The 24,891-nt window shown below is 46.8% G+C and overlaps 2 protein-coding genes across 10 annotated transcripts in view, besides 2 other annotated features; one reads left to right on the top strand and one right to left on the bottom strand.

The window, feature by feature from the left end:
* Nucleotides 2,624-7,893, top strand: SOD3 (superoxide dismutase 3). 2 transcript variants are annotated; one of them, XR_427488.2, is made up of 3 exons: nt 2,624-2,702; nt 6,557-7,579; nt 7,670-7,893. XR_427488.2 is itself a non-coding variant. In NM_003102.4 (2 exons), the coding sequence occupies exon 2, from the start codon at nt 6,573-6,575 to the stop codon at nt 7,293-7,295; it is 723 nt and encodes a 240-aa protein (NP_003093.2). In that variant the 5' UTR covers nt 2,624-2,702; nt 6,557-6,572; the 3' UTR covers nt 7,296-7,893. The 2 variants fall into 2 exon arrangements, 1 of the variants encoding a protein (NP_003093.2); NM_003102.4 differs by having other exon boundaries at nt 6,557-7,893.
* Nucleotides 6,776-7,276: an enhancer, noted in NCBI's record as "H3K27ac-H3K4me1 hESC enhancer chr4:24801347-24801847 (GRCh37/hg19 assembly coordinates)". NCBI's record gives its function as "activates a minimal SCP1, AML or CMV promoter by ChIP-STARR-seq in naive H9 embryonic stem cells {active_cell/tissue: H9 hESC(naive)}" and the evidence as "EXISTENCE:reporter gene assay evidence [ECO:0000049][PMID:30033119]".
* Nucleotides 10,565-24,891, bottom strand: part of CCDC149 (coiled-coil domain containing 149) — a 176,691-nt gene continuing 162,364 nt past the window's right edge. For 6 of the 8 annotated variants that reach the window (XM_011513908.3, NM_001130726.5, NM_001395273.1 and 3 more), the window contains one exon: nt 10,565-15,870. In XM_011513908.3, coding sequence (XP_011512210.1) covers nt 15,440-15,870 — 431 coding nt within the window. In that variant the 3' untranslated portion in view covers nt 10,565-15,439. The remainder of the gene's footprint in view (nt 15,871-24,891) is intronic. The other 2 variants (NM_173463.6, NM_001330644.2) reach the window with 1 other exon arrangement.
* Nucleotides 15,794-16,374: an enhancer, noted in NCBI's record as "H3K4me1 hESC enhancer chr4:24810365-24810945 (GRCh37/hg19 assembly coordinates)". NCBI's record gives its function as "activates a minimal SCP1, AML or CMV promoter by ChIP-STARR-seq in naive H9 embryonic stem cells {active_cell/tissue: H9 hESC(naive)}" and the evidence as "EXISTENCE:reporter gene assay evidence [ECO:0000049][PMID:30033119]".

Genomic DNA, 24,891 nt, shown 5'->3' on the forward strand with positions numbered 1-24,891 from the left:
TTACTTGTTTCTAACTTTGTTTTCATCTTCTCATTAGGTTAGGTGGTAGTAAAGCATAATGATTAAGAATCCAAGCTTAGGAATCAAAGTCCTAGGGTTGAATCTTGACTTTGCCATTTTCTACCTCTCCAACCTGGGGTCCATTACCTTTTCTTACTGGACTTTATTTTCTTATAAACAAAGTTGCCAAATTAATATCCACCCCACAAAAAGTATTGCAAGCATTAAATACGATACTATATGAGAAAGTGCTTCATAAAGTGTTCAGCTGCAACTTCAGAAAACTCAACCTAAACACCTTAAGCAAAATGAGAATGTATCGACTCATATAATGAAAATAGAGCATCTGAACCCATGCCAGTGGGTTCAGATTTCACTCTACCATTTTTTTTTTTTAGAGACAGGGTCTTGCTACATTGCCCAGGCTGGAGTGCAGTGGAATATTCACAGAAGTGATCATAGCACACTATAGCCTTGAATTCCTGGGCTCAAGCAACCTTCCTGCCTTAGCCTTCCTAGTAGCTGGGACTACACATGCGTATACCACTGCACTGAGCTCTCACTCTACTTTTATTCCACAGCCTTCTGCATTGGCCTTATCCTCAGACAGCTTCTCCCTTAGTGGAGCATGATGGCTGCAATAACTCCAGCCTTTTTTCTCCAGTTTCAAGTCCAGTAAGAAAGAGAGGATGCATCTCTTTCAACAGTCCCAGTGAAAAGTGGCATTGCATCTCATTGGCTCTGAAGGTGGATCATCCCTGAACCAGTGCAATAGTACGATTTATCATACCTAAGCCACAAGCTACCTCTGGAGCAGGAGATGAAGTCAACACCACCTGCTGGACTGAAAGTATAGTGGTTTCTCAGAAAGGAAATTGGGATGTTGTTACCAAAGGAAGAGGGAATGAATGTTGCCATGGTGGGGAGGTTGGGGGCGGTGGCGAGAAAAAGGCAGATTTCCTCTAGAATGCCATCAAAATGAAAGTAAATCTAGGCTTTAGCACAAGTCCTAGAATACCAGAACGGAGACGTGCTTTCTTGGACCTTAAACGAAATAAAATTAGGCCAAGTGAAGCAAGTGCCATTTAAAATAGTAGCTATGAATGTATATAATTAGGATTTCAAGAACTGAATGAAAATATAAATGTTTTAAAAATGGGAAGAAAGATTCACAATAAGGAACTAGACTGTTGCAGGGTGGGGGTGGGGTGGTGGGTGGCATGGGGAACTCTGAAAACTCATTAGTTGAGGATAACTACGCCTACCAACAGAATGCAGAGGTGCAAGACTGAGCTACTGGTGCCTGAGTTCTCAGCGGGCCAGAAGGAAGGACGGTAGGGTGGAAGGGCTGGAGTCTCAGTTCTGGGAAGTCTCCCTCTTATCTCGCAGAATGCCTGTCCCTGGATAAAGATCATTAGTTTGAGTTTTTCCAAGATGATTCTAGGAAGCTCCTGCTGGTAACTAAGTCACCCATCCTGGGGTGGGATCCAGAGATTTAGATTTTTTATAAGCTTTCCTGCCACCGAAACGGGTGTTTGGGACCTCACGAGGCCCTGTTCATTCTTCGTCGCTGCGCTCCCCACTCTGTACTGGATGCATTTACTGACGTTGTTGTCTCCGTCCCCAGAGTATGAACCCCCAAGGTGACTCATGCAGCTGTGGGTGCCCGGCATACAGCATGGTGACTGGAATGGATGAGCACCCAATAAACATTTGTTGCAGGAATGCAGGAGGACGGGCAGGCCAGCAAGCAGGCTGCCTGGTTTTTCCCACATGGGCTTTTCTGGGAAAGAAGAGCTTCTATTTTTGGAAAGGGCTGCTATGATTGAGAAAAGTTCATGGCAGCAAAAAAAGGACAGACGTCGGGAGGGAAACACTCCTAGTTCTCCCAGACAACACATTTTTTAAAAAGACTCCTTCATCTCTTTAATAATAACGGTAACGACAATGACAATGATGATTACTTATGAGTGCGGCTAGTGCCAGCCACTGTGTTGTCACTGGGCGAGTAATGATCTCATTGGATCTTCACGGTGGGCGTGCGGGGTGGACAGCCTCACACCCCCATTTTACAGATGATGAAAAGGAGGTGCAGGGAGTGGTGCAGCTGCTTCAGGCGTACACAGATAGGAAGTGACAAGGCTGGGACTCTGCAGCCTGAGTGTGTCATCACGACCCACCCGCTGCTCTGCTCTCATAGGTATGACAGCACAGCTCTGGAGCAAATGCCACGCACATTTGCAAGGTGCCCATTTCCATGCAGCAAAAATAAGTCAATAAGTTATTGACTTACAGAAAAGCAAAGGGCCTCTCAATAAAGAGGTCATTGTACACCTCTCCAAACAGGCGATTTTCTTTCTCATTTTTATTCCCCTGCTGTGTGCTGAAGGTCACTGGCTACAAGCCGGTGAAGTCGCGGAATGGAATCCTTGGCCCGAAAACCCAAAAATGGGAGGGGCAGAGGAGGTGGGGACAGAGCGGGAGGAGGTGGAGGCGAAGCAATTCTACAACCCGGGGAGGTCTGGCCTGCTTTTCCTCCCTGAACTGGCCCAATGACTGGCTCCCTCACGCTGACCACTCCTCTGGGCTGGCCTCCTGCACTCGCGCTAACAGCCCAGGCTCCAGGGACAGCCTGCGTTCCTGGGCTGGCTGGGTGCAGCTCTCTTTTCAGGAGAGAAAGCTCTCTTGGAGGAGCTGGAAAGGTGGGTGCTAAGTTGAGGTTCATTTTGTTCTTCTCGGAGTGTGCTTATTGAGTCTGAAGCTGGGTTGGGGCAACGGGCCTCTTCTTGGGAACAAATTGGATCATCTTCTTGGGAAGGAAATGTACTTTCCCTGGCTGCTCTGAGGGGTTAGTGGGGAGGTGGAGTGAGCGGGGAGGAAGGCAAGGAGGGGAGGAAGAAACCGTTCCTCCTGTGGATCTGCAAAGACCAGTCCAAGAGGATTTTAGTGTTAGGAAAAGGAATCTGGAGTGACGAGAAAGGGGGCCTTTCTAGATGTTGCATGGCTTTGGTGTCGGGAGCCACTTATGGGACAGCAGGTACTCTAAAAAGCCACCTCCTTAGGAAAGCAGAGAGGCCCTGGCCAGCTCAGGCTCCCAGCAAGAGCTCCTTCTAGGAGACAGCTGAGGGATGAAACACACCCAAGGCTCAAGAGGGGCAGGTTCTTCCCAGATACAGACCCAGGAAGGAGATAAAGGCTTGGTGCCTCTATTTGGTTCAGGATAAGGGCCCCTGTCCTCTTTCTCTGATAACACTGTCCTCTTTCTCTGATAACACCGTCCTCCCTTCCAGATCCACGTACAAAGGAGGCCCTTAAAAAGGCACTTGGTCATTCACAGCTCAAACTGAGCAAGAGGCTGTGGGAGAAGAATCAAGTTGGTCCCGAGGGGAAGAGGTGTCAAAGGCTTAAGAAACAAGAAGTCAGAGTTTACCTGGGTTTGAGGGAGAATTTTCTTTCCCCCTTTTCCTCCTCCTCCTCCTTCTTCTCTTTTTTTTTTTTTTTTTTTTTTTTTTGAGACATGGTCTCATTCTGTCACCCAGCACCCAGGCTGGAATGTAGTGGCACGATCACTATCACGGCTCACTACAGCCTCTACCTCCCGGGCTCAAGCGATCCTCCTACCTCAACCTCCTGAGTAACTGGGACTACAGGCACATGCCACCACACCCAGCTATTTTTTTTTTTTTTTTTTGCTAGAGATGGGGGTCTCTACCAGGTTGGTCTCATACTCTTGTACTCAAATGATTCTCCTGTCTCATCCTCCCAAAGGGGTGGGATTACAGGCATAAGCCACCATGCCTGGCTCTTCTTTTGGTTTCAGAGAAAAACATCTCCTTAAAATGTTTATTTCCCAAGGATTCTTGAAAAAGAAAGCTCACTGACACACCCAAAACAATCTGGTTTTGCTCTGTGCTTTTAGGGAGAACTTTCTAAGCAGCAGAGCCCTTCTGAGTGGCAGGGCTGTCTTAGGAGGAAGGTGTCTTTGATGATGGGGAACTTCATGTCCAGGTCTGGCAGGAGAGTTACCCCACTTTCCTGCCTACTCCCTGGGGCTTTGGGGTAGTAGTACCACATTGGGCCATGTCATTTAGGTGAGTCCTTCAACATCACTTTCTCTGCTTCTCCCTCTTTCTGGATCCTCCTTCTTGGAGCCTTTCAAGGGGACCTCCTCTCACAGTGTCCATAGCATCTCTTAGCTAATGGTCCTTAAAATCTCTACCAGCAGCTCTCTCTGATAGCTAAGAGCTGCCATTTACTGGGAACTTTCTATGTACTGGGCTCTGTGCTAAGTGCCCTAGATGAGAGATGTGCAGTGTGGTGCCTAAACCTTGGGCTTGGAGCAGACACACACTTTCAAATCCTGCCTTCAGCTCCTTAGTGAACATGTCACCTTGGGCGGGACACACGCCTCTCTGTGCCTCAGTTTCCTACACTTTAGAATGGGGATAACACTGAATAATGTTCTTGTGAGGATGCAGGGAATTAACCCACGCACAGTACTTATAATAGTGTCTGGCGCCTGTGTTCGATAAGTTTTAGCAATTCTAATCATCTCTTTTAAGCCTCGCAGCAAGCCTCTAAGGTAAGTCTGTATTAGTATCCCTATTTACAGATGAGAAAACTGAGGTTCACAGGGGATGAGACAGTGTACAGTCTGCAGTCCAGCAATTACTCTGCTACTCAGCAATAAAAATAGTAACAGCTAACCCTTAGACTAAGTGGCAGAGTCAGGCTTTAGATTCATGAGGTGAGTTCTGGAATCCATCCCTTTAATAACCACACTAAATTGCCTTTCTGAAATGGTTATATAAAGCATATCTACCCAATCTTGGAGTTTTTTAAATGGCACCTAGTTTGGTGCTGGAAATGCAGTTGACCTTCAAAGCAATTCTTTGGAGGCAGCATCAATCCCTCTGGAAATACCTCGGTGGCATGGCTGGCCTTATTCTACAGGTAAGGAACTTGAAGCTAAGCATCAGTAACCCCGTGAAGTCACAGTTAGTATAGGTTGGAATTGGGATTCAAATCTGTACCTGACTTTATAATTCCTAGCTGGGCCCCAGAATCTTTGATAGAGGTGTCTTCTTTCTTTTCTTTTCTTTCTTTCCTCTTTCTTTCCCTTCCTTCCTCTCTCTCTGTCTTTCTTCTCTCCTTTCTTTCTCACAGAATCAAAATCTCTTGGGGTGGGGCCTGGGCATCTGATTTTTAAAAACCAGACATCTGATGTGCAGTCAACACTGAGAACCCCTGCCAGCTTCATCTCCTCTTCTAAGTGCCAGACCCAAGTTTCCGACTGTCTGCCCACCTGTCTTCCCACCTGGGCACCCGCCAGCGTCTCACCCTCAGGAGACTCCAGCTGAACTAATCCTCTCTCCCTGCTTTTCCAGAACAGGTCCCACCCTCCCTCCACTCAGTCTCTCCTGCTGGGAACCCTGGTCATCTGCACTGTGCCTTCATCTTCCATCCTGCCAGTGCTGCCCGGTGTGTCTCTTAAACCCATGCCTCCTCTGTGTGCACCACCTGCACTTTGGTAAAAGCCTTCATTTCCTGCTTGGGTTACTACAACGCCCCCTAACTCATCTCACTGTCTCTATTTCTGCTTCTCTGTCTCTCCCTAGGCTACTCCCATTCTTCCTCCCCTTTCCTCTTCATCCCAAAGTCCAACCCATATCCTTTTACCAGTAGGACTTAAGGAACTAAAGACTATCTCATCACCCACTTTTCTTCTTAAAAACTTCCACTGCACTGCCTGCTGAGATGGCCTTCCTACCCAACTTGGCTGGAAAACTCCTACCCATCTTGTGGAACCCAGTTCAAAAGTCACCACCTCTGAGAAGCCTTCCCTGAGGCTCCTAGGGAGATGGGTACTGCCTCCTCTGTCCTTCTCCAGCACAGGCCCCATCTTCAATCACAGGATTGTGCTGGAATGATTGGATGCCAAGTCTGTCCCTCACTGAACTCCTTATGCAAAATCCATATTATATGTTTCCTTTTGCCAGGTGTGGGCCCAGGTGCTGGGGATACCGATGAATAAAACTGAGTTTCTGTCTTCAAGAAGCTCCAAGTCTACTGAGTGTAGCAGAGAACAGGGAGAAGGCACTTCAGGGAGAAGGCGTAGCACATGCAAAGCCCCAGAAGGCAGGGACAGAAGCCTTAGGGATGTCTGTGGGGGAGGATGGAGGAAGAGGGTAACAGGAGACCAGGTGGGGAGATGAGGGAGGTGGTCTGGAAGGGCCATGAGACACCCCTCACGCTCCCTGAGACCCCCTCCACGCTATAGAGATGGGACTGGAGAGGACGATGATCATTTGTGACTCAGATCCCTGTGGGTTTCTTCAGATTGGGTCTCACCCATCTTTACAGCCACAGCACCTAACACAGTGCCCGGCACACAGCAGGCCCTAGACAAACGTTTGCCACATGAAGTCATGCCCACTGGGCCAGGAAGCCCACTGGGGACTGGGGGGTTGGTTCTGCGATAATGGGGTCCCTGAGATTCTATGTTTCACGTGACTAAGCCTCACTCTGCCCCCACCTCCGCGGGGGCGTCCCGCAGGTGCCCGACTCCAGCCATGCTGGCGCTACTGTGTTCCTGCCTGCTCCTGGCAGCCGGTGCCTCGGACGCCTGGACGGGCGAGGACTCGGCGGAGCCCAACTCTGACTCGGCGGAGTGGATCCGAGACATGTACGCCAAGGTCACGGAGATCTGGCAGGAGGTCATGCAGCGGCGGGACGACGACGGCGCGCTCCACGCCGCCTGCCAGGTGCAGCCGTCGGCCACGCTGGACGCCGCGCAGCCCCGGGTGACCGGCGTCGTCCTCTTCCGGCAGCTTGCGCCCCGCGCCAAGCTCGACGCCTTCTTCGCCCTGGAGGGCTTCCCGACCGAGCCGAACAGCTCCAGCCGCGCCATCCACGTGCACCAGTTCGGGGACCTGAGCCAGGGCTGCGAGTCCACCGGGCCCCACTACAACCCGCTGGCCGTGCCGCACCCGCAGCACCCGGGCGACTTCGGCAACTTCGCGGTCCGCGACGGCAGCCTCTGGAGGTACCGCGCCGGCCTGGCCGCCTCGCTCGCGGGCCCGCACTCCATCGTGGGCCGGGCCGTGGTCGTCCACGCTGGCGAGGACGACCTGGGCCGCGGCGGCAACCAGGCCAGCGTGGAGAACGGGAACGCGGGCCGGCGGCTGGCCTGCTGCGTGGTGGGCGTGTGCGGGCCCGGGCTCTGGGAGCGCCAGGCGCGGGAGCACTCAGAGCGCAAGAAGCGGCGGCGCGAGAGCGAGTGCAAGGCCGCCTGAGCGCGGCCCCCACCCGGCGGCGGCCAGGGACCCCCGAGGCCCCCCTCTGCCTTTGAGCTTCTCCTCTGCTCCAACAGACACCCTCCACTCTGAGGTCTCACCTTCGCCTTTGCTGAAGTCTCCCCGCAGCCCTCTCCACCCAGAGGTCTCCCTATACCGAGACCCACCATCCTTCCATCCTGAGGACCGCCCCAACCCTCGGAGCCCCCCACTCAGTAGGTCTGAAGGCCTCCATTTGTACCGAAACACCCCGCTCACGCTGACAGCCTCCTAGGCTCCCTGAGGTACCTTTCCACCCAGACCCTCCTTCCCCACCCCATAAGCCCTGAGACTCCCGCCTTTGACCTGACGATCTTCCCCCTTCCCGCCTTCAGGTTCCTCCTAGGCGCTCAGAGGCCGCTCTGGGGGGTTGCCTCGAGTCCCCCCACCCCTCCCCACCCACCACCGCTCCCGCGGGAAGCCAGCCCGTGCAACGGAAGCCAGGCCAACTGCCCCGCGTCTTCAGCTGTTTCGCATCCACCGCCACCCCACTGAGAGCTGCTCCTTTGGGGGAATGTTTGGCAACCTTTGTGTTACAGATTAAAAATTCAGCAATTCAGTACTGCGTCGAGGTCTTGGTTACTTTTTTGTTTGTTTGTTTTAGGCTTCTCTCCCAAGCTGAGCTTTTTTTTGTTTTGTTTTCGTTTTCCTTTTTTTTCTTTTTTTTGGGAGTGGCAAACATGCTTCCCAAATCCCTACAGGACTTCTCCTTATCCTCTGCCCCCACCTCCCTAACCCTGCTGGCAACAACGTTCAGCCACTGCTTGTCTTGCCCTTCAGTGTGGCTCCAAGAGGAAGATCACCAGAATCACTCAGGGAAGTTAAAAAAAAAAAATACAGCTTCCTGGGCTACATCCCAGAGCTGTGGAATCCAAAGGGAGAAGAGAAAGTGAATTTGCGACAAGCGTCGGGATGATTCTGGCACTGGACCCTCTGGCCTGAGAGGGGAAGAGGCCTTCCATCTCACCTGGGCTGGTAGCTTGTCACATCTGCCTCCGAGTACAGCCTTAGGTCCATTTCCCAGATATCAGAGACAGTGCCAGGGAAGCCAGGTGACTGCATCTTGCCTAGGCACAGAAGAGTAGGGTTGGAATGTGACGTTGTTAGCATTTGGCAGGACCAAAACCAGAGGCAAACGGAGGCAGTGGGATGGAAAGGCAGTTGATTTTGATGAAGGCTTGTTGGGAGTTCAGCTTTCTTTTGAAACTTATAATCTATACCCAGGCTAGAACAGTCTTGTGTATACACCTTCATTCATGGAATAAACGTACTTGCAATAACTTTTTAGCCTCCCAGGGTAGCCTCACTTCCTAGCTGTGACTTTTCCACCCTGGTTACTGGGAGGCAGCTTCCATTTCTCCCAGACTAGCTAGGCAGTGCGTCCAACTGAACCGCAGCCAGAAACCTGTCTCCAGGGGTTATTTTTACCTCTAACTAGGACTAACTTATTTTAAAATCTTTCCTTGAGCCCAAGTGACAACTGAAGAGAAAGGCTATTGCCTGGTGATTTTGCTCCACCAGTTGGTTCTCACTGGTTTGAATACTAACTTGAACTGTACTCATCGACACTGAAAGGGGATGAGCAAACAGTGTCTCTAAATCTCCTGATCCTGATCTCAAATATCCCCCTAATTACAAGTTGCAACAAGGCAGCTATTACACGGGGACACAGGATGGAGAGGATGGGTGCCAAACACCCATCGTCTACTCTGCTGCCTCGGTTATGGTGAATTCAGGACCATCAAGGGAGGTGTGGACCTTTTTTTTCAGAAGGAGGCTGACACTTCTTGTCAATTGCATTGTGTTCTTAGTTTTGCTCTTCACAACCCTTGACCCCGTAGATGGGGGCTGAAGAGGCACCCTGGCCGACTCACTCTATTTCTGTTTTGGGAATGGGATGGATAAACTATCCCATGGGCCTCCAGAGCCAAAAAACCAAAACGAAACAAAACAAAAAACCCCAAAACAAAAAAGCAAAAAGCAAACAAGAAAAAAAAAAAAAGAGGAAATAATAGGCAGACAATTTACAGTTCATTGTAAGGGCAAAGATATGCATATAGCATGATGGTTAACAGGTCAGACTCAGGTAGAAAGGCCCATTTGAACCCCAGCTCTGCCACACTCAGAAACTGTGTGACCCGAACAAGTCACTTAACCTCTCTGAGCATAGGTAAAATAAGATCATCATACCAGATTGTTTTGAAGATTAAATCAAGTGTTATTCACGAGAGGTGCACAGCATAGCATGCACAACAAATAAGGACCTGGTAAGTATCTAATTAATAACAATGGCTAAGATCCAAAAAACAGCTACCTACTAATAAATAGATGGAGCTGCCTTGTAAGGCAGTGAGCATCATGCAACCAGGATTCAAATGAAGGACAGTTGCTACCTCTGAGGTTCCCGAGAAGGATTTCTGCATCCATTGAGAGACTGAATGACATGAACTCTGCGATCCCATCTCTTGTGGGGAGGGAACCTAGAATGAAGGGAAGATTGTGGGCCATAAAGGCAGACATCTGGTTCCTGGCACAGAACCATATGTGTGCCACCAAAGCCACCCACCGGACCCCACTTGGCCCCTGGAGTCTATTTTTACTCCTCTCATCTTACAGATCTATTTTGTTAATCTCCTTATATTTGCTGTTTTGACTTCCCAGCCAGCTTGCTAATCAGTTTGCCTATTTGACTCACAGGGTTTGCATTTGTCACGGGGACTGAAACACACGCTTGTTTTGATTTCTTTTTGTAAAATTAGAAGCGTTTGATGTAATGACTCTACCTAGACACAGCTGGTAAAGTGAGAATAATGCTCAAGTTTGCACAGTTTAAACACAATGTAGACAATAATTAGAAATGCTATCTTTAGATGTTTAGGATAAGCTTTTTCTCAGAATTGCACTGATTTTTTTTTTCTGAGTGGGGCTTTTTAGTGCATATATACAGAAATACTAAAAACGTAAGAAAATAGAGCAAATCAGTGAGTGCTTTGGTCAACTTGAAAGACTGCAGGAAATAAACCAACTGATTTTAGATCTGCCTTTTTTTGACTGAATGCATAAAATCTTTACATTCTCCATATTTTTCATGACTACCATATGATCAAATAGTTTTAGGTGACAGATTGCAACTGATAAGTTGCTGCAATATGGCAGAAGTCATGCTCAGCCTCCGCTTGCCCGGTGGTGAGGGTGGAATATGAAGCAAACAATAAAGATAATTCATCATCTCTATCAGGAAAATTGCCACATGTTTATTTCAGGTAACAAAAAAGATATAGTTATGATATACAATGACCATAGAATCCAATAAAGCAACTTCTGCAAATGAATAGAAGGTACTTTTTCTTTAAATGAAACTACAAAATAGCAGCTGGTTTTAAAAACAAAGCCAATTGTTTTAGATTTAATAGGCTACCACTGGCCTCTGCTAAGATCCCCAAATATATTCCTGAGCTCACATAGATTCCAGAAAGTCAAACTTTTCAATATTATGCAAACTTTCCCTATGCATCCAAAAAATTCTCATTTAGTAAAGAGGTGATATGAAATGTAAGGCAGCATGTCCATATCTATCATTTTAAATTGCCTTCATGCTGTATCAACTGGTTTTGTTTTGGGAAGCAACCATAATATTGAGAGACGGGTCTTTCCTATTTTTTCTGCTACTCATTTCTAACTAGATTCACTACGGAGCTCCCAATTGCATCTCTCTGATCTACAAATTTTTCTCTCTTCAGGAAGACACCTGGAAAGAAGGGACTACATTAAAGGAGTGTGTTGGGGGCAATGCTTTGGCCTTTTGACATCCTATCTAGTCTGAAGGGACCCTCACTATTGCTAAGGAGGAGGAGTGTTTTAAATGGAGGCTTCAGAATGAAAGCAGAGGAAGAAGGTACTCTCTTTTTCAAAAAGAAGGAGGGTACAGGCCGGGCGCAGTGGCTCACGCCTGCAATCCCAGCACTTTGGGAGGCCGAGGAAGGCAGATCACGAGGTTGGGAGTTTGAGACCAGCCTGGTCAACATAGTGAAACCCCGTCTCTACTAAAAATACAAAAATTAGCCAGGCATGGTGGTGCATGCCTGTAGTCCCAGTTACTCGGGAGGCTGAGGCAGGAGAATCGCTTGAACTCGGGAAGTGGAGGTTGCAGTGAGCCGAGATCATGCCACTGCACTCCACCCTGGGTGACAGAGTGAGACTCTCAAAAAAAAAAAAAAAAAAAAAAAGAAGTAGGGTACCAAGTCATCCACAAGGCTGTGGGAAAACAACAAAGCCAAGAGGGCACCCCATTTTTTTGGAGTGAAAACCAACAGGGGCAAAGGCATGCTGTAATTTTAAAGAGACAGAGAAGATCACCTCAGTGAGTAAGCAGCTGGTCTTTGTCATTCCTTAAAGAGGAGACAGAACTTTTCATGCCATATCGTGAACCGGGGTGCAAAGGCTCCCGGTAGGAATAACACATCAAAAAATTTACTCCAACATGTGAATAATTGATAGCAGAGCCCTTTTCTAGCACTTTGCATCGTGATGGTGGTGCATGTTTGGGAGGGAGGTCACAGAAGAGGAGCAACGATGGGCAAACTAATTTAGCTTGCTTAAGATTGCCAAAAGCTGGGAGGGTCCAGCCGGCATTGAGCTGAGGCCATCAGGAGCCTCCCAGCTAGAGAGGCTTTGGGAATAGCTGTGGGAGCAAGAGAAGGAACGGGGAGGGGAGAAGAAGGTGGGCAGAGAAGGTGTGGAAGGAGGAAGAGCAAGAGTGAGGGATGAGAAATGCCTGGTTTACAAAAACCAATCCACTTCTACAGGCCTTAATCAAAAGAAAGACAAACGCTCATGTAAAAATCCACACCTAGAGGCTCTCAGGCACAGAGCGATCACAGGAGAGGCAGAGTGTGCAAACAAGCTTTCATTAAGAGACCTGTCAGCTCTGTTTCATTTCTCCAGGCTGCTCTGCATTCTGCTGGCAATCCAGCCGGAAAAATAATGGAAGGACAAACACGTCTGAACAGGCAAACAAAGGTGGGAACATTCCACCTACAGAACAGGACAGATCAGAAAGATGCCAGGGAGGGGGGATGAGATGGCTTTTTTCTGAGCAAACAACCATAGCCCCTCCCCTTAACTCCAAACTCATCGGAAACATGATTTTCTGGCTTTTTATGCAGCAACAAAAAGACATGGGGTTCAGAGACAGCACCATTGGTTGTCTATTCCCAACTCTCTTACACATCCCAAGATATGATTCTGTTTTGGTGTTCAGCCTTTTAGAGTCTGAATGTCTAGCGACAGGGCCCTTCTTCAGTTCTTAAGGGTGAATCTTGGTGAACCTAAACAGATCATGGTAATACCATCTCCCTTGCTAAGAAATGGTTAAGACATTGCCATGTGACATCATCATGTGACAAGGTCTCATGCGACCACAAGCCCCAGGTGATCATTCTGACCAATAAAATGTGATAGGAACTGGGTTTCTCGCTCTTGAAACACACACACACACGTATGTGGGAAGAAACTTCCTTCTGCCTTTGAACAGGTGTTATCTGGAGCTGTTGCAGCCACCTCGTTATCATGAGAAAGCAGCTGACACAGCAGGAAGAGCAGGAAGATGGAAACCTAGAACCTTGACAACTTTCTTGAATGTATAGCCCTGGAATGCCTTACTTTCGAAGTTCCTGTTATACAACATAATTCATTTCCCTACCGCTTAAGTTTCTGTTAAGTGTGGCTTGAAGCTGAGAGGACCATGACTGATGCAGGGTTATCTAGTGAAGTAGGGGACAGAATGCCACAACCTTAAACTTTGATCCTAAAAAAGACAAAAGACAGCTGTAAGTAATTGCAGAAAGCCCCTTTAATGTCTGTGGAACAGAAGAACCATGTTGGATGGGGAAAGCAGGGGCAGGACACACGTGTCGCGTATCTATGGGGTGTTATCAGGGTTATATCTGTGACAGGATCAACTAACTTACTGGCTCTCATTTCACCTGATAACATAAGACCCTCCCCGCTGACTACACACAGTTTAGGTTATCACTCCTTATGACTCCTGCTCCCTGCCCTGCACCCTAGATTCTCTGGGACTCACTGCAGTTTTCCTGACTCTGATGGAATGTGCTGGAGTCTATTACGAGCCCTGCTTTTCAGAAGGTGCTCAACAGGCCCTGAAGATGTGCATCTGGCCGATGGTGGGTCAAAACCAGAGTTCTGCAGGCTGAGATTTTTCCTTTTATTATTATTAAACTTGGCTGTGTTTTCCTTCGGTGGCTCTGGCATCCTATGCAGTAGTGCTGGACATTTGCAGGCAGTTAAGGCCCAGTACAGCAGGAAGAATGATTTCTGTGACTGCTGGTCTGTGCAAGCCCTCCAGCTGCGGGAGCAACCTCCCTTGAGGAGAAGTTGTGGGGGTGGGCCTGGTGGGGAGGGCGATAGGCTGGGACAGAAGGAAGGATGGAATACTGGACCTGGTGGCCAGGGGTCAATGGGATGTCCTTCTCACCAGAAGCAACAGAACGCCGACTCCAGCATGCTCCCATTTCAACTAAAGTAGTGGGAGACCCACCCAATGTGCATCAAAGGCCTGGGTCCTTCTGGGCTGCACTTTGAGGAGGAGCAGCATAGTAAGGGATGGGGCGCCCATTCTGCTAGCAGAGTGATTCCTGGAGATGCAATCTGGGAGGGATGTATCCACGTGGCTGACCCCTCGTGTCCAGATGTCACATCTTAGTGTCATGAGCCTGGTATAAACATTGAATTTTTAGGATGCATTTTCACTGAGAGGCTACCACTCTGGGAGCCTCTCTTTTTCCTGCAAGGAGCGCCTCTCAAAGGAGTGATTCTGGTTCTCAGAGGCATTCTGAGCTTTGGGATCTAGTCTCAGGCTTTCCAGGGAAGGAAAAAGCTATGGCTGGATGACTTTTAGTTTTCTGCAGTGCCGGATGCCAACTAGAAAAGCTCATTTTTATCTGAAAGGAAAGAACCAGCTAGAATTGAGCATGCCCTCCTTTCCCATCCCTGTATCATGTCCTTGGTTCCACATCCCCCCTTGCCATGCTGTTGTGAAGTTGTTTTGTTTTCCTCTCTCTTTCCCATAAAAGGTCATGAGCTCTGTTTCTGTCTTTAAGATTCCCGTACTTGGTGGCACAAATGAGGCAGCCTCAACATTCTGTTGAAGGAGTGAAGGGTTTGGAAGTTCCAGGTGGTGCAGGAAACTAGACTGGCTCCCAGCAGGTAGATCTTTCCCAAACCTGAAATGGCCATACAATCCTGTATGTGAGACAGGCTGAATGCAGAGAATGAGCATTTCCAGGTGGTAGCTCTCATCTCATCTCACAAAAAAAACCAGACCACCACTGGGAGTCCTGTTCCCCGGCTTTTATGCTCACCCCTCCCAGTCACTTCAGATCAGTTAATTCTCCAGATTTACAAGCTAGAAAACTCCAGCTCTGGCACTCAGCACACAGGCCTCAACCGGGGCTGTGGATTTCAACCCAGAAGCCCAAACTTCTCAGCCGGCTTAAGGCCCCTTCCAACTGCCAGTCTGTACCACGACAGCAGTGCTGTGGGCACAATGCCAAGCACACCCATGCCAGGCAGTCCTCCTGGGCCCTGACTTGATGGGGTGCAGCCATGGGTCCTCTGGACACGTTTTGCTCAATTATACCTTCCTCTCCAGCTGCCTAACCTTGACCAAGATGGGGACCTGATTAAAAACCCCATCAGTTTCTAGCTCTTCCCATAATTTTGATTGACAACATTAAATGCTAATACAAAAACATCTTATCTCTGATAAAACAAAAGCTGACAGAAAGACGGATGCTGAAAACCAGCCATATGGTGGACACGATTCCTGGGCCTGGCCCTGTTCACAGTAGCACTCTCTGGCAGAAAAGAGATGACACTGAGAAGCTTGAGGACCTACATTTAATAAATCAAACTGTACTGGCATCATCAGAATATTCACAGTTTGCAACAGGATCAGTGCGTTTTCTCACTTGCAGACTCGGAGGTATTTCAGGAGAAGGCGACGTGAGCGCACCATTCCGATGCTTCATTCTTGACCCTCTCTGGGGCTTTCAATGTGTCATTGTGTCAGATCCCTCTCCCCTTCAGGTTTTCACGGTGCTCCTCATGCCTCCGCCCTCTGGGATCCCTTTGCCGTCTTCCGGTGTGGAAGCTTTGGCTGCTGGCCGGCTGGCCTCGAAGGAGTCCAGGTGAGATTTAGGGAGCTCCCCCTGGATGGCCAGGCCTGGCGGGGCTGGCCCCGTCTCACTCCTCTGACCTTCTATGGGACTCTCTCTTCTGACCTCTTCCAGTTCTGCAGCTGCCTGTTCCTTTGTCAGTTTAATTATTTCCCTCCCAAGGCTGTTTACTTCTTCCTCAGAAGGTAACTGGGGTAATGAAGGATGAAAGAGCTTGCATTGGTTCCCGCGGCTCTGATTTGCTGGGGAGTTGACAGCGGGCCTCCCAGCATCCTCAGGCGCTGTCAACGCCTCAGCAGCGGCACAACTTTCATCTTCTTCTTGCTTCTGAGCCTCCCCTGAAAACAGAACGAGGACAACATTAAACCTCTGGCAGCAAATCAGCCCTCACCGCCCCTCTTCTGCCAACCTCCTGCCCAGCCTACCAGCACAGGGCCTCTGAAAAAGGAGCAAGACTTTTTTGGCTCCCTGTGCAGGGCAATGGAGCCAAAGGGGAACACAGGACCCAGGTGAAACCAGCGAGCATGCATTCTAGTGATTCCTGCATTATTAACAGAGGGCAAGGGAGCACTTGGGCCATGTCATAATCCATCCTTTCCAGGCACCTGGTTAGCTTCTGTTCCATTCTCTAATGGCCGCTCCTTGTGCCCATTAAATATTTAAATTGAGGACAAAGGTTTTGTTGGTTCTGCAGCTGAGAGCCAGGGCTTGTTAGTAATGAAAAAAGGTTCCGGCTGCATTGAGGGTGGGAAGAAGAAGGATAGTTCGGGAAGGATTTAGTGCCACCCCTTCTCCACGATTCTCCATCAGCATCTCATTCCTTAATGCGGACACCTAGTGTTCCTCAATATCAAATAAATTATATGCAAATACACCTTCAAGCTCCCTCCCCTGTTGAGTTGTTGTCCCTAAACCCCTTCTCTATAGGATGGAAATTCTAGCACTGCAACAGGAAGGACATGGGAGAGAAGGGGGAGCCCTTAAAGTGCTGACATCCAGCCCTCATTTCCCTACTCACTTGCTTTGTGATCAGGATAGGACTCTCTGATGCCCCTTCTGGACCTAACCAGCAATGCTTGCTCTGCATGAGTGGGGAGCAGCATGGCGGAGCCAGCTCTTAGTACCCGGGCATGTGCATTCAATAACAGACACTGAGTTTCCCCAGAAGCCAATCTCTTCCCAGCCCTCAGGCTAAACAGTGAAGAAAGGTATGACAGAGCCACAGTGGGACTGGGTTTAGCCTGGACACATGTCCTGGACCAGGAATGAGGGGCCCCCAGGAACACTTTCTGGTACCCCTGAATGGAACCACAGCAGAACCCTGCTGTAGTGGGGCTTGCTATCATATATGCGCAGGTATGTTTTCAGGCTGTAAGTTGGAACTTGGGGAGCTGGAGAACTGCAGCAGGTTAGAAAGGATGTTGAGCATCATCTGGCCATGCCATTTTCCTGCTTAAAACCTTCTGCTGGAGCCTTGTCACTTTCAGGATAAATTTCCTTTCGCTTAGGCCCTTACAAGGTCCTGCTGATGTGCTCCTGTTTCACTCTGCAGCCTCATTTCACACAGTTTCATCACACGTGTCCTCCCAGCCATGTCACGCACCCATTAGGTCTCCACATGCACTGATCAGTTTCTCCCCTCTGTTAAATAAATCCTCCCAGCTAACGCTTATTGGGTGCTTTTCCACACTAGGCACTGCACTAAACATTTGACGTGTTTATCTCATTCTAAATTTAAGTCCATGAGAACAGGAGCCTCATCTGACTCATCCAGTGTCTGACACATTCTAAGCATTCAAAAATATTTAAAAAATAGTTCCCTTTCTTTTATAAATGGAAGTATAATATACACAAAGAGAAGTGCACAGAACTTATGTATCCAGCTCAATGAATTTTCACAAAGTGAACTCACCCATATAACCAGGATGAGAAACAAAATATTACCAACCCCTGCAAACACTTCCAAGTCCAGGACTCCTGGACCCCCTTTCCAGTCCCTTTTCTGCTGCCAGGGATAACCATTAGCCTATTTAAAATGCTGAAATGAGATCTGCCTGGTCCTTGAACTTTATATCCAGGAATCTTACTGTGCTGGTTCCTTTCGCTTCCCATGATGTTTGTGAGATTTACCCATGTTTATGAGTACAGAATTTGTTCATTTGAATGCACCACAATTTCCAACAGGTATGTAAATGTTGAATGAAAATGGGCAAGCCAGAAACAGAAAAAGAGATAGAAATTGAGAGCAGACATATTAAACGATTCACACCATCACTCAAAATTGCAGAAATCTAAGTCCCAATGAAATGTAGTTTTTCCTCTATCAGAATGACAAAAATGAAAAGGTTTGACAAAGCTCAGTGTTGAGAAGGATGCAGGGAAACAGGTACAATCATACATTAATAAAGAAAATAAAAATTAGTAAGACTCTTTTATAGGCCAGATATTTCAAGACACATTGTTCTTAGATACTCACTACAACACTGTTTTTAAAAACAGAAGTCTGGAAAACTCCAAGTGCTCATCAACAGGGGATTATGTATACAGATTTACTTGCCAAGTTGCGAGATTCTTTCTGATAATATGCACTAAAAATTGTAGGTTGTCTCTGGAAAGCAGACTGAGGACCACAGCAAGAAGCAAGGGTGGAGGAAGACTTTAAGCTTAATTTTCCACTTTTCTGTGCTATTTATATTTTTTAACATGTGCTGTATTCCTATTTTATAAAACAAGATATGCAACCTCCAAGATTCTACCATCCAATATCACCTCATCTTTCCTTTGCTACACTGATCTGTAGAGCTAGGAACCCATATCCACTGCTTTCACTTCCCAGAGCTGATTCATATCTTCGATCCTTCAGTCTATCCTGCGTCCCCCCTGCTTGTGAGGTCTACATCCCCCTCCCCACCCTGTAGCATACTTTCCCATTGGCCACATGCTCCTCGCAAGCTGTTTCTCCCTGTAGTCTCTCCTTCAATCTAGTTCTGTGAGCATGCTGTATTCGTTCCCTATGGCTCCTGTAACAACCACAAACGTAGTGGCTTAAAACAAAACACATTCATTCCCTTATAGCTCTGGAATCAGAAGTCCAAAAAAATTTCACTGGGGCCAGGCACAGTGGCTCATGCCTCTAATCCCAGCACTTTGGGAAGCTGAGGCGGGCGGATCACCTGAGGTCAGGAGTTCAAGACCATTCTGGCCAACATGGCGAAACCCTGTCTCTACTAAAAATACAAAAATTAGCCAAGTGTGGTAGCGCGTGCCTGTAATCCCAGCTACTCAGGAAGCTGAGGCAGGAGAATCAATTGAACCCGGGAGGCAGAGGTTGCAGTGAGCTGAGATTGTGTCAATGCACTCCAGCCTGGGCTACAGAGTGAGACTCCGACTCAAAAAAAAAAAAAAAAAATTTCACTGGGCCAAAACCAGGGTTGTGCTCCCTTGGAGGCTCTGGGGCAGAATCCATTTTCCGCCTCTCCCAGCTTCTGATGGCTGCCAGGATTCCTTGGTTTGTGGCTGCATCCTTCCAATCTCTGCTGCCATGGTCACACTGCCTTTTTTTCTGTGTGTGCACAATCTCTCTCTTGCCTCCCTCTTGAAAGGATACATGATATTGCATTTTTGGCCCACCTGGATAATCCAGGATAATCTCCTAATCTCAAGATCCATAAATCAATCATATCGGCAAAGTCATTTTGCCATATAAGGTAACATTTACAGGTTTCAGGGAATTGGACCTGAAATCTTTGAGGGCCAATATTCAACCTCCTACATATGCCTTCCCAGTTCCCTTTGTTGATTCTGATATTTCCTTCTGGCCCCTCTGAGGGCACTTCCCCCAGTGATCTGCCATCTGTTTCTCTTCATTCATTCTCACTCATTAGCTATCACATGACCTTAATTCCTGCCTCTGAGTACAGCTCCCAGATCTATATCGATGGCTCTGCTCGCTTCTTGTAGAAGATACAGACCCACGTTTCTGGCTGCCAATAGGATCCTCTACCTGGAAAATCTGCTGGCACTTTCCAGAAGACAGTTTTCCCCCATAGAGTCCCTCCTGTTTGCAGTTTCGGTAATGCTTCGTAGTCACATGGGCTTAAGACCTTGAAGACCAGTCAATGCCAAGTCCTGTCTTTGTCCCTCTGTATTAGTCTGTTTTCATGCTGCCAATAAAGACATACCCAAGACTGGGTAATTTATAAAGGAAACAGGTTTAATGGACTCACAGTTCCACATGGCTGGGGAGGCCTCACAATCATGGTAGAAGACGAAAGAAGAGCAAAGGAACATCTTATATGGCAGCAGGCAAGAGAAAGTGTGCAGAGGAACTCTCATTTATGAAACCATCAGATTTTGTGAGACTTATTCGCTACCAAGAGAACAGTATGGGGGAAACCACCCCCATGATTCAATTATCTCCACCTGGCCCCACCCTTGACATGTGGAGATGATTACCATTTAAGGTGAGAGTTGGGTGAGGACACAGCCAAACCATATCACCCTCAGTGCTGTAGACTGAATGCTTGTGTCCTCCCCACATTCATATTGAGGCCCTAATCCCCAGTGTGATGGTATTTGGAGGTGAGGCCTTTGGGAGGTACTCAGGGTTAGATGAGTCATGAAATGGGTCCCTCATAATGGGATTTGTACCCTTATATGAAGAGGAAGGGACCAGAACCCCCTCTTTCTCTGCCATTTGAGGATGGCAATACAGCAAGAAGGCCACCATCTGCAAAACAGGAAGAAGGCCCTCCTGAGTCACAGAATCTCTTAGCACCTTGATCTTGGACTTCCCAGCCTCTGGAACTAAGAGAAATAAATGTCTGCTTCTTGTTGAAAACACTCAGTCTATGGTAGTCTGTTACAGCAGCCTGAACTGACTAAGACATTCAGAAATGTTCCTTGCATCTGCCCACTCTTCTCCTTGCCCAATACCAAACATGGCTTGGATTTCTAAGGTTTCTAGATAAATTGCTGAGGCATATATCCCCAAGGTTCAGCTTGGGGAATATATATATATATATATATATATATATATATATATATAAAACCTAAAAAGGAAATATAATCTAACAAGTTTGAATTAAAATGGAGCTTAGAATTTCTGCAACGTGTAACAATGTTCCTACATCTGTGATCCATTCTAATTTTAATACAACATAAAAGTATTGATACGATATAAAAGTATTGATTGATATGCATGGTATGTGGTGTTGAGCATTTCTTAATTACATAATTGAATAAACTTCTGAGCATTTATTTACTTAATCAAATGTTTAAAAGTTTTAAAATGACTGAACATTGGTAAAAACTCTGAGAAGCTCTAGAAGAAATGAAAGAGTGAAATCAGAGGGACTTTAAGACTAAAATGAAACTACCAAGACGAAGGGTGGAGCACAAGGAAGAGAAAATGATCATAGACAGAAGCAGCGATGTGATAACAAACATCAGTATCAACAGGGAAGAGGACTGTGGGTTTCAGCTGAGTAAGGTGGGTCTTGGCTACTGTTGCCACACCCTATAGCTCTAATTCTCCTGATATAAATTTGCTTTTCACATTCAAAATAAGTTTCCATTTCCTTTAGCCTTTTTGATGACCATAGACAAATTCCAGGGACAGAATTTTGACCAAATCTACTTTATGATTTCTGAAGCCTGCATTTAGTCACAGACAACTATGTTTATTCTCCTAAGAATTCACTGGCCTCAGTAAGCATTGTATCTGCAAAGGAGACCATTACTTGTGCTCACAATGAAATACATGAATGTAATAAAGCAAGCCTTGCTTTTTAAAAAAATAGCTCTTCAGATCTGTTCAGCCAGGATAAGGTATGTGTTAGTTCTTGATGCGCAAATGTATAGATGTGTGAATAAATCAAGCCTTGATTTTGAAAAAAACAACTATTCAGATCTGTTTAGCCAGGATGAGGTATGTTGGTTTCTAATAGGTTCCTTTGATTCTAGTCTCCTCCTACACTAATCCAACCTGCTGGGAGACAGAAACCGTCCCTAAAGCTTCGCTACCCAAAGTGTGGTTCATGGACCAGCAGTGGCAGCATCACCTGGGGACTTATTAAACATGCAGGGTCTCAGGCCCTACTCCAGAATTACTGGTTCTGAATCTTTACTTCAATAAGATCCTGGGTGATGTGGGTGCACACTTCAGTTTGAGCAGCACTGCAGGCTTGAAGCACAAATCTCACCATGTCTTTCCCCAGCTATACATCATTGAAAGGCTGCCAGTGTCTCGGCAGCAAAGCCTAAGCTCATAACCTGGCATTCAAGGCCTTCCACGACTCAACATCCATCTACATTTCTACCTGGCAAACCAACTCCTCTCCTTATTCCCTCTACTCCAGCCACACTGAGCCCCTTCATGTCATCCACCCCTGTCCCCAGCACCTATACTTAGAAAGTTGATTCCTCCATGACTATCATTCTCTCTTGTATGTCCCAGGGATGAACTTCAAGAGTCAGCTCCACCTCCACAACTTTCATGATGCCTATGTGATTAAATCTGGCCAGAAGTAATATTCCTACCTTAAATGTAGAAACTTGCCTGATTAATTTTTTAACCTTGTTCCATAGTGGGGACTTAATAATAAATAGCTTATTAAATGTTTGAATATATGAACGATATACATGAATGCATGAATCCATGAATATATTAGTACATCTCTTTAAATACCATTCGTTAATATATGAAAGCAATCCTTGAATTTATGGTATTCATTTAAGGTTGTATTCAGGTTGCTACTCTAAAAGTTCTTAAAATGGTACTTTTGAAAAGGAAAGATAAAGATTTCTGACTTGCACAAACATTTATCTGCATCTAAGGTAGCTCAGGGAAGCAATCACATAATTTTCATACTCACAGATGAAAATTTTTATAGTGGTTGTACAGGGGACATGAGAAACAGCGGGTCAAAATGAGCAGGTTTCCAGCATGGTGGGGAGGCTTTATTTAAAAGGAGTAAATTACGGTACTTTCAGCAGCTAAATTTTTCACCAACGTGAGACGAGTACACTCCTTCTGGAAATTACTCTTATGAAATTACTTCTTCCAGGACACTTAATAGTATATTCTAGTCCCCCTGAAAAATTAATTAACCTTACTCGTAACAACCTAACCCCTAAACCATCTGTGGTGTGTTTTTACTGTAGGTCAGGTTAATCTTCTCTACCTTAATTTACACCTCAGTGAGGGTGGTCTAAATTACACAGGGGACTTTCAGTTGCTGGTATTTTGCCTTGTGCCATTTCGTTAGATGACATTCTGCTCATGTCCAAAGGTATGAGTCTCTTTTAATATGGGAAACCTCTGAGATTAGCAGGGAGAACTTTTTAACTTTTTAAGCAGTGGGTGCAGGGGGGTGCGTGTGGGGCCAACACTGCTGTCCTCATTAGAGATTAAAACACAGCCACGATAAGAGGAATGAACTCAGGCTGTAATCCTACTCTGTTTACTTTTTCTGAGAAAGGCTAGATTTTCAGAGCCTCAGGACCACAGAGCTACAGGAGCCAGGGTCTAGGACAGGACTGTAAGTCAACAGCAGGATTTACCAACCCACTCTCCCATTTTTTTCAAATTTAAATTTAAATTTTTAATTTAATTTTTTTTTCTTTGAGACAGGATCTCACACTGTCCCAGGCTGGAGTGCAGTGCCGCGATCACAGCTCACAGCAGCCACAACCTCCTGGGTTCAAGGGATCCTTCCGCCTCAGCCTTCCGAGTATCTGGGACTACAGGCATGTGCCACCATGTGCAGCTAATGTTTTAATTTTCTTTTTTAGAAATGGGGTCTCACTATTGTTGCCCAGGCTGGTCTCAAATTCCTGGCCTCAAGCGATCCTCTCACCTCAGCCTCCCAAAGTGCTGGGATTACAAGTATGAGCCACCCTTAGACTTTTTTTTTAAATCCAAAAGATACCCCAAAATTATACTCAAGTCATTATCAGGAGACAAAAAAAGGTTACTAAAAATGTCACAAGCGTTGAGCTATCACTGGGACCTCTGGTTACTTGCTGTGGGAGCAAAATCCTCCTTTAAAGATTCTAGAATCTTAACTCCTAAGCTGTGGGTGTTTTATTTTTAAGGATAGACACATAGCATTGCTATTTCTATAAAAGATTTCTGAACCAGCCAAGAGTGGGAAAATATTAAAAATAATAGTAATTATTCAGTGTTTTAGCAAACAATTATCATTAACACTTATTATTAATAATGATACACATATCAATGATGAGGATGCAATCAACGGCTACAAACGCATTATGACACAAATAGTGTGGAAAGAAAAAAATATTTCCTCTAAAAGATAAAGAAACAGTATCTCTTTGTTAAAAAAATTGCTAATCACCCAAAAACGTGTCCCCCGCTCCCCACTGCCACTGGCCCGAAAAGGCGATTCATCTTCCTTTGTTAGTTGCTCTCTGATAGGCTTTGTCCTCCCAAGCGCGCGCTGCTTTCAGTTGGAATTGATCACAGATGCGACAGTGATGAGGCCATCCCGGACGCTGACAGCCACGGCGTAAACACTTCCTTATTCCCACCCAGCGCTGTCAGAGGACGGGGTAGGAACAATGAGAGCTAATGATGCAACTCTGGAAGCTATCATTTTGAATCAGTCCACGACTTACAACGCCCTTGTGAAAATCAAGCCAGGCTCATGCTCCGTTTCAGGTTAGCAGGCCCAGGTCCACCCCGAGGCTCAGCAAGCCTAGAACAGACAGAAGGCTTTGGATCTCCATGTGGACATTGGATCCTGGCATGGCAAAACCACCAGCCAAGACATGCTCCAAACCACACAGGGGGCCATGGTGTTCCAGGCCAGCCTTACAAGCAGCCACATGAGGCTGGCTGCAAAGACCCAGCCTTGCTTTCTGGCTGGTGTGGAACCAATTAAAGTCAGGGTCTCTCTCTTGAAATTCTCCCCACAGGTACCTGGGGGGTAACCTTTCTGTTCAAATCCCAGATATGTCCTGGCTTCTACCACTCCATGCAGTATTATGGTCCTATGATCAGGCTCTCAAACCTGTTGGCTCATCTGGGTCTTCTTACCCAGTGATAAGAAGTGGTCTTCTTACCACTCCATGCACTATTATGAGTGATTTAAAGCAACAACTATGCATTATTTTTCACGAGTCTTTGGGTCAGATGGGCGGTTCCGGTTCTGCTAATCTAAGCTCAGCTCAGCAAGGCTCCCTCATCCGTATGCAAGAGAGAGCTTGCAGAGCCTAGCTTAGATTAGCAGAACCACCCATCTGACCCAAAGACTCATGAAAAACAATACATAGTTGTTGCTTTAAGTTCTAAATTTTGAGTTGGTTTGTTACCCAATAATAGCTAACTGATACAG

This window comes from Homo sapiens, chromosome 4 (genome assembly GCF_000001405.40).
Source record: "Homo sapiens chromosome 4, GRCh38.p14 Primary Assembly".
Taxonomy (NCBI): Eukaryota; Metazoa; Chordata; class Mammalia; order Primates; family Hominidae; genus Homo; species Homo sapiens.